General features: G+C 38.8%; 1 long non-coding RNA gene across 1 annotated transcript; it reads right to left on the reverse strand.

Annotated features, from left to right (window-relative positions):
• Window positions 1–4,193: 4,193 nt before the first annotated feature.
• LOC124901812 (uncharacterized) lies at window positions 4,194–5,757 on the reverse strand. The gene is made up of 2 exons (XR_007060642.1): window positions 5,125–5,757; window positions 4,194–4,321 (listed from the first exon to the last, which is right to left on the reverse strand). It is a non-coding gene; the product is annotated as an uncharacterized LOC124901812 (long non-coding RNA).
• Between the last annotated feature and the right edge of the window lie 8,082 nt (window positions 5,758–13,839).

The raw sequence follows: 13,839 nt of genomic DNA on the forward strand, positions 1-13,839 counted from the left end.
TCTATTTTCAATTATCTGTTTACTTATTAATATTCAGCTTTGATCCAAAAATTTAGAAACAAGCTCTGACAATCTAATTTCATTAACAGAATTAATAAATGAGCTTTGTTGATGTGTCTGCATTGTAACATCCTCAGATAAAGCAGTGCTAATCAACTGCTGTGGTGGATAAAGATAAGCACACAAAGACTGTGATGATGTTTCCCTCCCTTTTCATAATTAACTTTCGAATCTGTCATGCTTTTCAAGGTCTAAAATAAAATAGTAGGCAGTGAAAGTTTGATCATCAATTGCATTTAATAACACCAATGGATATTAGATCTTACTGTTCTATTTAATATTTTACTTACTTTTTATTTAAACTTCAGATTCTATCAGATTCTATATTTTCATGCTGTTTCATTCTTAAAACGCTTTCATTCCCAATTCAGGGATATTTGTAGATTCTTACTATTTGAGTGCATGAGTTAAACCTTCCATCTACTGGCTCACTAGGAGGCCTGTCCACCATGAGACCAATCCAGTGCTGAGCCACAAGCTGCAGCAACTGTCATGGTGGAAGAACCCTATGGCCACATTTTGATATTTTTTTCTTCTTGGCCACTTCTTTCATCAGATATTATTCTACAGCTGCCAAAGTCCACACTGCCACCACTGTTCATGGCACACAACTCTAGACCAGTTTGAAATTAGGTGTTCATGTTCAAATTCTGACCTGATCACAGGTCATGGGCCTAGTGTGGAAGAATAATTCAATGTCATGTGGTACAAAACATGGCCAACTATATAAGCAATCACCTGTAAATAACTCTTGAACCCCTTTGGAAAGGAGTTGTGATCATGACAGATTACATTACTGACCTTTCCACTACAGCATACTATTCAGTACAGGGATCTTTTGACACAGGCAACCAGTTTATAAAACCAACATACAATGTGCTTAAAAAGATATTCAATTCATCCATGCTCAAATGATGAAGGCTTGATTCTGGAAGCTTGACCATGAGTGACTGAACTCTGTCGTAGAGAAGTGGCACCTTTCTGATCTGAGTCATAAATAGTGGCATAGGATATGATTTCAAGTTCAAATTTTGTAGCATTGAATTCAAATTTATCAATAAAATATATAAACTCTTCAAGATGAAAAACCTGTGTGAAGTTCACCAGTAGACCATAGCGAACACAAATTGAATATCCAAGCCTGAATGCAAAAGTGATTTCATAGCTCCAGAGCTTTATCCTGCAAACCAATAATAATAATAATAAAAACTATGCAGCTGGAGTGGTCAGGTCCTCTTCATCACTGCCAGGGATTCCTAGCTGGTCTTATTGCAATTCTGGGTTCTCATAACCACTGCCACTAAGAGTGGAGCTGGAGGCATAAGCAAAGGACAGACCAGTGTCTCCAACTCTCTTATACCTGGGCACTGAGCCTCCACAGCACCCACAAACAACCCAGTAGCCCCACGGGATAGGGCCAATGCCACAGCCCACAGGTTATGTGCTTTTTATGTTTTCTGTTTGCAATCGCACTGCAAATTACAGAGCCTTTGTTAATGTTGTCATGACTGAAACACTGATGAATGATTTGAAGCCATTTCCCAAGAAGCATGAAGAAGCTTGTCATTCTGGCTTAACACCCAAACTTGTTTGCAAAAACTACTTTAACCTTCTAGTTTTCTCTAGATTTTCTCTGTCCGGAACCCAACAATCAACTGCAGCAATCTCTCTATGTCTCCCAACATATTTTTGTAATATTCCCCCACAAGGCATGGAACTTCTCCATTTCCAACCTCCTATTTTAGGGAAATGTGAGTTTAGAGAGTTGATAGAAGCCTCTCCAAAAGAGTGGTTTCTTCCTTGGTTCTGGTATATTTTCTTGTCCAAGAATATCCTTGCCAGGCAGATCATTTCTGCCCCTCTTTCTCTATACAGAAGGAAGGCTAAATGGCTCAAGGGAAGGGTCATAGCATTTAAAGTCTGGCAGACGGTTGTGAGTGGTGTGACTGGGGAAATGTTATTCAACTTCATTGTACTTCAGTTTTCTCTATAAGACTTAAACTGGGGATGAGAAATAGCTAATGTAGTGTTTGGCATGGAGCAGGTATTCCAGTGAGGGATATATATTGATTAATATATATCAGTGATGAGGAGTTAATATATTGAATATATATATATGTGTGTGTGTGTGTGTATATATATATATATATAGTCTAGTGATTGGTCTATCTGGTTAAAGCCATACCATTGGATACCTCTTCTTGGATTCCTATGATAAACTAGATAGATAGATAGATAGATAGATAGATAGATAGATAGATAGATGATAGATACATAGATAGATAGATAGATAGATAGATAGATAGATAGATAGATAGATAGAGTAGATAGACAGATGGGTTCAAGAAAGAAAAAGTTATTTTTAGAACAGATGGGAAACACCTGGAAGTCACTGAACCCCTGCCTTCCATGGGTCTATAAAATAAGCCATCTTAAGCCAGCTGTGGGATGGATAGAGCCACTGATTTGATCTGGCCCCTGAAGCTACCCAGAAATCAGAGTTGAGCTAAAAGAGATACTGAAGAGTTAGCAAACATTCCTTCTCCATCTTAAAATTTGACTGACTGTGGTCTGGCCAGTTAGAACCCAGCTGGAAAATGGAAATATCTCCTAGTATATGAGGGAAATATTCTGCTTCTCCCTGCAATGACATATATTATAGATGATATATAGGCATCATATATATTATACCCCCCACACACATGTTTACATATAGTAGAACAGTAGTAGGAGTTTTTGTCATTTCTTTGCCAAACTATTTTCAAAGTGCCTTAGAAACTGAAAAATCACAGGAATGTAGTATTGGGAATCTGAACAGCTAGATTCTAACAGTAGCATACTGGTAAACCTACTCTCTTGAAAAAAAGAAAAAATGGTTTGTAGTGTTTGCTGATTTCTGTGGTGTAAATATTCCCACAGTGGCTGATTTCAAGCTATCAACCTGACATCATCAAACACAGAATTGGGAAGAGAAGAGCATAGCTGGCTCTTGTGAGCTGGTACAAGCCAGTTCTAACACAGTAGTGGTTCTAAAATAAGACATGTGTTTTGTGAACCAAACCTTACTGTCTAGGTTTCTATTTTCTCATACGTACATCAAAAATTAAACAAGACTAAAGTTTTTCAATTTAGATGTTAATAATAATTATACACACACACACATATATAAATATATTACACATGTATATGCACACAAATGTGTGTGTATGTGTATATACACACATATATATACACATATGTTCTTTGCTCAAAGAAACTTGAGAAACTGTAAAGAAAATTAAGTAGATTTCTTTATAGCAGGACCTCTTAGAGACTTTAATACGGTGATTATGTAAGAGGAAGCTATAGTATTTAGCTTTTCCTAAACATTTTTTTATGGCATAGCTGTTAACAACAACCAGACCTCTGTGTTTGATATTTTTGCAGCTTTGAAATCCAATTTAAAAAAAAAGAAAAAGAAAGAAAGGGGCCTCAAAAAGTTACCACCCTCTTCCCCATGCACACTTTCCAACTCCATTCCTCGCTTTTAAGTTAGGGGAGCTAACTTTTGTTGCGTACCTACTAAGTGCTGCATCTGAAACTCAGCTATACCAAGGTTTTCTACCCGGAAAGACAGAAATTATCTCCTACTCAATTCTATATTAGAAATCTGAGCTTCACTAGATAATTTAGCCAAAGCCATAGTTTGTTTGTTTGGAGTGAAGGAGGCAGCGAACACTGCCAGTCAAAAAGTACCTCTCCCAGGGAGCCTATTTAGAAACAAAAGTGAAATCTAATTCACATTCACATAACCATAACCGCAATCGATCCTGTAGGTGGAGAGCGATTTTAGCAATAGTGACACCTTGTGGCATTATCTGCCATGGCTCATTAGCCAGGAAGGCTAAAAGAGATTCCTTTCCAGACAAGTCACCCACTGAAAGCGGTGGAACCAAAGTGAAGAGTGCTGAGAATTTTGCAGGGTTATCATTTTGTTTTTTCTGAAATAACCTGAGATAAAAGCAGCAGAGCTGTCTTTTTTTCCTCCTTTTCTCTTATCCTTAGTTCTTTTCTTAGATTCCTATGATAAACTAAGAAGCAAGGAAGTATACATTTATATCCTACTCCACCTATATCCAAAACAAAATAGTCCATTTTAAATGCAAAGGTGACTGTTTATTATACAAAACACTAATGGCCTTAATTTCCATGGGACTTGCAGTTTCTGGGAGGTTCTCTGTATATTCTTTTCTTGTGTTTTCAGAGAGACTTCAGATGCTGCCTAATAAGAAGAAAAAACAAACACATTTTTCTAAAGCAGCCAAAGTGCTTTTAGGCTCTTAGAAGATAACAGGGCTGCTGTCAAGTCATTTGAAGAGACATCTGGAAGGCAATTTTACAAAGATGAGGGAAAATAGGAAAGCCAAAACTGGACAATAGAGTAGAGAAAGAGGAAGTTAAAAAAAAAAAAAGGACTTTTACCAGCCTTTTATTGTAAGACCAAGGACATACACTGGATTCTCAGATTTCACAAGAAGCCAAAACATTGTTTAAAACTTCCATTTGAAATTCTAGAGTGGAGAATTAAGGATGCATGTGAACTTGTTGCAGATTTTCAGGGGTTAAGGCAGTGGGGAGAGAAAAGGTTTAAATTATGCAGAGGCACCATGACTCAGAAGGCAAAATAAAGAAGTGGAAAATGAATGTTTGTGACTTCCACTTATGTCATGCTGCAGGCACATCAACTCTCTGAGCTTCTGTTATGCTACCCACAGAAAAGAGATAAATACCTAGAGGGAGGCAGGACAGTCACAAAAAAGACCAACTCTAAAGCCCTTTGTTTAGCTTGGTGACCTGGTAACTGCACCTGTGCCCTGTCTCCTTGGTTGACAGGGGATAAAGATGGTGATGGGAGCTCAGAACAAGGGAAAAAGAAAATAGGACTTAAGGGAGACGTAGAAAGGTTCGGAATGAAAGAATGGGATTAAGGGAAGGAAGCAAACAAGCAAGGAGGCTTTGTGAGTACTGTCAGAGACAAGAGACCAATGAAACTATTTTCTCCAAGTAAGTCTTGCTTCCAATTACCTGTAGAGAAATCTGTCCTCAACATCCCTGGATGAAGTGGCCGGGGGCAGTGAGCAGAGGAAGTTGAGCAGGGATTCCATGTTTCTGAACTGTTTCTCATATTCTTTTTTTCCACTAGAATATTCTTCCAACTCTCATCTCTCATTCAAAACCTTAACTTGTCTCTCTAGTAGCACCTCACATGACTAGTAAGCCCTTTCGAAGGGGTATGCACACCATTGGATACCCCTTCTCAATAATGGCTTGGCAAACACTGCAGAGCACCCACTGTGCACCAGACACGCCAGCAGCACCTGGATGCAAAGGATGAAGTCACAATCCCCTCAGCCCTCCAATTAGCAGCTCACTCAAGAATGCTCTGAATCTCCTTCCCATTCTACATCACTGCATCTCTCTTGCTGTTCTTACTACTGTTATTGGAAACAATTGCTTTCTTCCCAAGACAGGTCCTAAACTACACTGGGGTAGAGACAGTGTTTCCATCTTTGCATCTCTCTCTGTGCTGTCCCAAAGCCATTGCACACAGCAGATGCCTCCTGAATAAATGATCATGTATTTGAGTTGAATGCCTGACTGACTGTGAGGTTAGGACTTGTTGCTTCCATTCCCAAAGTGCTACGCTCCAACCTAGTGAGATAGAGGTAGTGATTTTCTCATTGGCTTGTGGCTAGGGAAGGCTAAGGTTCAGCCAGCAAAGAGATTTAGCAGGAGGGCCAGCCAAAAGAGTGCACCAGGAAAATGGAGGTCCGTGAGTAGATAACATCAGATTGGTTAGGAGGCAAAACAGAAAGCGAAGTGGACCCAACCATCCCACCACAAGTGTCCCGCCTGCCCTCGAGCTAGATCTGAACATTCCTTTATTCTTCCTGTCTCCAAACCTATTCCTCATGCCCTAGCCCCTCTGGGCAGCTCTTCTTGGTGGAGTAACAACAGCTGCTATTCTAAGTACAGGAAGCTGTCTTGTAAACAGTAATTTGTTCATATCAAATGTGTAGGACTAGAAACAAGGTAATACATGATAACTTTAATTAACACATTCTCAGATAAGACAGCCCTATTTTGAAACAACAAAAAGAAAAATCTTCATAATTCATCCTGAGGAAATAAAGCTCCTTATAACAAAACAACCAAGTTATCTATCAGAAGCTGCCAGGACACTGCCCCTTAATCAGCAGGAATGGGTGGCCAAATGCCCTGTGTGGATGGAGAGCGGCAGCCAGACCGGCTAATCAGTAGATCCCCGACGTCGCCTCACAATGCAACGTCTACCCACGGATGCTTCTCTGACCTCAATTCCCAATCTTGTCTCCTCACTTCTCTTTTCTGTCATTAGAAAAATCCAAGCCAATAAAGATATTTCATTTTCTTTTTTTTAAAGAAAGGCATTTCAGAGATTGGTAGTAGAGAGACAGCAAACAGCAAAAGACCCTGATCTCCTCCTACACTTTCTGCTGTGCCTCTCTGAGCATGAAGGCCAAACTCATTTAGTCCCTTTCAGGCAGGCCATTTCCCTCAGGATAGCGCACTTGGTGTAAAGGGGTCTGGAAGGCCAGCGTTCAGTGATCTCCAGGTACCTGAAGAAGTCCTAGTCGCCTCCACCGGTCACCTCCGCCCTGTGCTGACTTGTCCAGCTGTTTCCTCCATGACTGAGTGCAGATGACATTGTTCCCTTTCTCCATTCCAAGGTTCTCAGAGGCATTGCCTGTGGTTGACAGAACATTTTGTACCATTTTAGTTGGTAATGAGGGATACTTTCAAGCTAGAGTTATATAGTTTTCCCTTTCTTTGCAGATGTCCTATAAGGCTATTTCTATGTATCTTATTCATTTTTTGCTTGTAAATTATTAATATGAATGATAGATACCCACTTTAGAAAAATGTGAATCCTAAAAAATAATATAAACTGGTAATAAAACTCCCAAAATCTCACCATTAATTACTAAGCTACTAACGTTTCTGTAATTCTACGTTGAGGCATCCATTCTGTCTCCCTTTCTCTCTGTTCCTGAATACAGCAAAATGGACAGGTTATTCTATCCAATCTCCAGCTCATACAGATTTTCTCAACTGCATTGTATGGAGACAGAGGAATACAGAATTGAGCACCAGGAAAGTTTTAGGGCCCTTTTATTCCTAAGGCCTCCACCATGAACTGGGTTTATGGAGAAGCCGCTCCTCAACACAAGTACCATTTAGGAAATTCTTTCCCTATTTAGGTCACCTTCCCACTGGCCTCTTAATATCAATATACGAGTTGTCAGAAAACAAAACTACCATGGCAGAAGAAAGTGACAGGTGCATAAAGTACCAAAATATCTCAAAGTTTATCAAAAATCCTGCCTCAAGTATGGAAAGTGCAATCCATTTTCCTTCCCAGGGAATATGTAGCAAAAGGATTTTCTTCTCAAATATTCATTTTAAGATAAGGAGCAGGGAGACAGAGATCTATATGCATTTGATTTGGGATGGTTTCTTTGAAGGTTATTTTGGTGGAATTGTCACTTTAAAGCTATGATGTCCTTTTATCAGAGCACAATGAATGAATGTAAATGGCAGGTAGTCTTTGGCAGAGAAAAATTTCCAGTTGTCAGAGAAGGAAAAAATGTGCAGAGATACACCAGAAGAGCAAGTTGGGTAATAGTGGAGATGCTTCTCTTCCAGTTATCTCTAAAAGGAAGTTTGGTATAGTGAGGATTTGAATTTGTTCAGCCCTTTTTCATCAGAGTTTTTCACATTATCAAGGAGGAAAAGTAATAGAATAAGTCCTCTGCTGACAGCCTTCCTATCCTGTGGCTTATTAGTGTGTATGTTTCACTAGTAGGGCATAGAATAAAGATTATAGGGAGGGAACACAGGAATAAAGTTAAGGAAATAAGCTTTCGGCATGTCTGCCTAGGGTTGAAGCCAGCTTCCCCGTATACTTTTTGAGTGACTTCACCAAGTTGACTGGTCTGGTCTCATCTATATAAGGATAATAAAATGAGTTCTTACCTTATAGGGACACTATAAAGATAAAGTAATGTACTAAATATCTTGAACTGAGTGTGTACTAAAAATTTAGTTATATTCTAGAAGCTCTGCCAAAAACTAAAGGCAGAAACTTAGGTGGTTTGACCTCTCCCCGATCCCCTTCAGCCCAAGGTATTGCTTTTAAGGCCAAGACTCTCATGTATTTAGCAGGTACAAATTTTGGTCCACAAACTTGAGTGTGCATGAACTCTTCACCTTGTATCATCCTTCAGAGCAGTAGGAGTTTTGTATCAGTTGTGACAGGCTCTTTCCCCTTGGTTATGGCAGAATCTCAAAGATTTCTGTGGTACCTGGAGGGGATGAGCTGCTGATATCCCGGCTGCTACTGATTCCTGATGGCTGTTGCCTACTCTGGTCCTTTCGAAGTTCCCTGACTCGCTGTGTCCCTACCCATGTAAGTAAGAGAATCTTAAGCTAATGCTCTGAACCAAGGCGCCAAGATCTACCTCCTGAGATGCCCCTTGGCTCAGAGGAATGAGCCCTGTCTCACATCCTTTGCCCCCTCAAAGGCTTTCTCTCCTATCATCCTCCTAGCAAAATCTCAACTGATAAAACCTTTCCAACAATGTGCTTTGGGATTCTTCTGTCTTTCATCCTACTCAAATTTCTGGCTGCAAGGACTACACGAACCACAAAGCCTGGTAACTTGCTTCAAAAAATATGGAGGCAGGAAAATCTTAGGGATAACAAGAACAAAGTAATATTTCAATTAATTATTCTGCCACAGACACAGGATACCATCAATTTTCTTTAACGCCAGGGTAGTCAAATGGGAATTTTTTTCCTGCTTCATTCAGCCTTGAAAAAATATATTTTAAGAAATGTAGTATGAGAATTACTTGTAAGTGTAATTATTTAGCCACATTTCTGCCTAATGGGGCTCTTCTATCCATGAAATCCCCACATACAGGGGCCATTCTTGGCCTCTGCTCCCTCCTCCCTCGGCCACAAGTGTGTTTGCCTCCACCTTCTAAGAGCTGTTTCTTAGCTCTCAATGCCTGGAACAAATGCTTTCTCCTCCATGAAGTCCTTTGTGATTCTTCACACCCTCCTCTTTAATTCTAATGAATCACTTCTTTCTTTCACAGCACCATATTTATACCACTACTCAACAATTACTTCTTCTGCATTTTGGACTAGTATTTTCTGTTTCTGCTTTCACAGGATGATAAGCATCTTGAAAACAAGTTAGGGTAGTGATAAATAACTTATTCCTAAAAAGAATTTGAGCCAATTTTAATTAAAGTAATGACGTAAGAGACAGACTAGGTTGCAATGAAAGTCTAGTAAGTTTCTTTATGTTTAAAGGAGAGAACACAAGGGATTTTTTTTTGTTTGCTTTGTTTATGTTTTCAGGCGGTTTTTGTATAAGACAATAATTCTTAATTCTTGTTGCATATTAGTATAAGCTACGTGATTATTTTTTTAAGTAGCAGTGCCCAGGCCCCACCCTCAGAATTCTGATATAGCTGTTCTGAGGTGGAGTTCAGGCATTGAAATTTTTAAAAAGCTTCCTATGTGATCCCAATGTATAGCCAAGGCTGAGAAACTTTAGTATAGAGATGAACTCCACTGTCCTGCAATTTATGAAGGGTTTTTAATTGATGTTTCTTATTCTCCTATCTCCTCAATTTCCTAATTTATTTATCATCCTTTTGTATTCATATATTTTTGTGAACCACCTCAGATTCTTTTGAGAATGGGCAGCGTTTAAATATGCCACTAAAACGGTGAGCCAGCAATTCCCAATAATCTCTTCCCAGTATACTAAGATGTTTCTATCAAGTCTATAAAACTTATTTTAATAAGTTTTTATTCTATAAAACATATTTTTAAAGAACATTCATTGCATCCTCTCCCCACCACTCATACCTCAAATGCTTCCTTTAGCTAAAGAAAACAGCAAAAGAGATTTTATTTTTTTGAAAAAGACATATATCAAAACTTCAAAAAGTTTGGGTATCTTATAAAACTTGCTTAGGTTTCCCAACATTCTATTAGTCTAAAATTCTGAATGTAGAGCTGATTAAGAAAAAAGAGTTCCTTAAGAAAAAAGAGATTTTTATATCAGGATTGGGTTATTGAAATAATAGAGCCACAATTCTTTTAGGACCTGAAATTGTGAGACTGAACCAAATAAAACTGAATCATGTGTTTTAAACTATATATTTGGTCAGAACTCTCTTTAGTGTAGCCAAGTCCTTTGTTCATAATTAAATATTATGATAGAATCTACTATAGTTTTATCTTAGTTGAATATAAGCAGTTCTATTAAGCAATTAGGGCACTGAAATTTTTCTAAAATAAGTAGAAAAATTACATAAAGTCTTCCATAATTGATCTGATTTAATTCCATAGTACCAAAATTTATCACAATAATTGTATCAGGTCATAGATGAAAAGACTGCCTCTTAATCATTTCAAAACAATAGTAAATATCAAAGATCACTATCCTGACATAGCAAAAGCAAAAACTGCTTTCATTGAAACTTCGAAGGGCACAAATACTCCACTTATTCCAGCTTATTTACAGAAATTTATTCTCTACGTAGGTTTCACAGAACTTCTAATACCTGATTTTTTGGCTTCCTTCTGGTTTCACCCTAAAAACCCACCAGAAAATAAATCTTTTATAAATTTAACAAATTAGGTTTTTCAGGACAAAAAAATATAGTGAGAAAAAAGGGGACCATTTTCCCACCAAATAGCTCTGAGGGATGTAGGAGCCAACTCACTCATATTTCAGGCATGCTGACAAATTATTAGGTTACATGAGCTGTTACAATATCTTTGTGTTATGGTCTCTCCATTAATAAAATAGAAATGAGAGCATCTCCTACTTTCCTCTAACCAAGACGGAAGTTATGAGATATTAAACTCTATTCTTTCTGTGAAGAGAAAAGGAAGAGCTGTCTATATCCATTAATCTATACAGTAGGAACTACACAAATACCTAAATTATATATGTTAGAAATTAATAGAGATTTTTAAAGCTCATTAAAAGCTTCCTGAAGTATGGACCAATTTTTTACATATGTAAGACATTACTTTTTAAATTAAAGTAGCAAACTCAAAGATGAATTCATTTTCCCTCCTGCGTTCTATCTCATAACCTCTGGGATAAAGCACATTTTTATATCCCTGAATTGCTTTTTTTTTTCTTAATTGGCCTCTCTGGGTAATTCCATGGGATAAAACAGAAAATAGTCTTTGGGATTAGTAATACTGAACAGGTGCGAAATGTACCATTGAAAAGCTAGTTAAACCTCAAAGGTGGACGCTCCAACTATAATTTAAATGAGAGACACACAGCCTCATCAGTGCCCATATGCTGGCCAAGTGGGGATGCTCTTATCAGAGCAATCTTTATAAATGTAACAAGCCTGTTTCAATGCTACCCACAGCGTGAGGCTGCTTTCTATTTTGCATTGTAATAGATTATGCAGCTTCAATTTTCAATGGACATGCCCTAACATATTGGGTCTCTCAGGAGACATAGCAGCGGCATTGACAAGGAGGGGCAGAGGGCTAAGCAATAACGTGCAATATTTAAAATGTTTTTTTTTTGACAACTAGCAAACTGTGATTCCCAAGTAGGATGATTCACCATTTCCTGCTGTCAGATATAATAGCATCTTCTATTGTAGAAGCCTGTTACAGAATGACCATCTAAATATCTTCTGAAAGATATGTGTGTTCACATATTGATCATAAGATACAATGTTTAACTTGTTATATATGAAAAAATTATTGCTGTATAGCTTTTCTTTTTAAAGAGTGGAATAGGGTAAGGGAGAATGTGGCACCAAGGGAACAAGGCCAGCACTGTACCACAGATCACACTAATACCTGCTGATGTTATGTCACCTTTGTCAGAATGGTCTCCAGGTAGTTACTGAGCTAAGTGAGAAACTACAGTGATCAACAGTTCGAGTTTGTCCTGGGACTCAGGACTTTCAGTGCTAAGATTGAGAAAGCCCCAGGCAAAGCAAGGCCAGTTGGCAAACCTCCTGGCAACTTGTCTTTCACTTACCATCAGTGCACACTTTGATCTGAGATAGCATAAAACCATATATTAACTACCCAAACACTGACAACTTTGCTGGGACACACATGTGATGGTATTCAAAAGAAGACAGAATAATGATACACTTTTCGAGATTACCCCCACACACACACACTATACACACACACACACACACACACACACACACACACATATATATATTTTTTTGGTAGATGGAGTCTGGTTCTGTTACCAAGGCTGGAGCACAGTGGTGCGATCTTGGCTCACTGTAACCTTCCACCTCCCAGGTTCAAGTGATTCTCCTGCCTCAGCCTCCTGAGTAACTGGGACTACAGGCACGCACTGCCATGCCCGGCTAATTTTTGTATTTTTAGTAGAGACAGGGATTTCACTGTGTTGGCCAGGCTGGTCTTGAACTCCTGACCTCAGATGATCCACCCGCCTCAGCCTCCCAAAGTTCTGGGATTACAGGCATGAGCCATCGCACCCAGCCCCTAACCATTATAACTTGGCAAATAATTTCTTGACCATTTTCTAAATGTTTGTATGAGACTTGGGCACTATGATCTTCAAGATGACTGGGAGGTCTTGCCAATATGATCTCATACCAGACGGAAGGAAAATCAAAACTGTATTGGGTTGGGTTTTACTAATCTCAATCTTGATGGAATTGTTGATGTTACAATCTTAGCAGAATGTAAGACCAGATATCACAGATTTGAAAATTGTACTGCATTGGACTAGGGTATTCCAATAGGATTTTCCTTTTGGAGGCCATGAGGCAAGGTTACCCATTGTGAGTATCCAGTATCCTGAAGGAAGGGGGGATTCCCAGCGTCAATCACCCTGAAAAGCAGCAGCTCCAGACAGAAAAGGAAGCAGGCAGGGAAACAGGTTGTGAGGCACCCTAAGGGCAGACATGATCTGAGTGAGACCACATTTAGCACTAATCCAGGATGCTCATCTTCTAAACCCCCAGAATATTTAGTAAAATCTTGTAAAACACCTGCTGGTTAGTCTAAGCCAGACTACACAAAGTTAGGGGAAGGGGCCAGCACTGTTTCCACACTTGGAATCAAAGGTTAAAACAGTGTTTCTCAACTTTTTTTGTTACCAACCCTCTAAGAAGCCTTGTTAGGCAATTTTCCCCTAATCGCCTCCCTTTATGAAATGTTAATATTACAGATAGACTGTATATCTCTGTTTACATACCCATATGCACTTCTGTGCTTTATACATAAAAAGAGTAAGATATTATCACCCCCCCCAAGAACCAATTTTCACCCCTGTGGGTTTGCTGTCACCCCTATTGAGAATGCATGGGTTGGGGGAAGGATAATTGCTCCAGAGACATTGCATTCTCAGAATATCAAGAGGTGATGTGCAGTGGAGCAAGTAACAACTCACTGGGCAGAGTAGAAAACAGAAGACTGATAAAACCCCAGAAGACAGCCTTGAGTTGTAAAGTACTTAAACATTCCTAGGCAGAACTTGGTGAGAGACTGCATTCCCTGTAGTCGAACTTGATGACAGTTCTAAGTTATCAATAATATGGTTATTAGAAGAAATGTATTTTCATTTTGTCTTTAGAGGCTGGTAAGCCTAGGGAACATTTTGCTTACAAATGTAAATGGGATATATTTTTGACAAAAATTGAT

This window comes from Homo sapiens, chromosome 7 (genome assembly GCF_000001405.40).
Source record: "Homo sapiens chromosome 7, GRCh38.p14 Primary Assembly".
In the NCBI taxonomy this organism is placed as follows: Eukaryota; Metazoa; Chordata; class Mammalia; order Primates; family Hominidae; genus Homo; species Homo sapiens.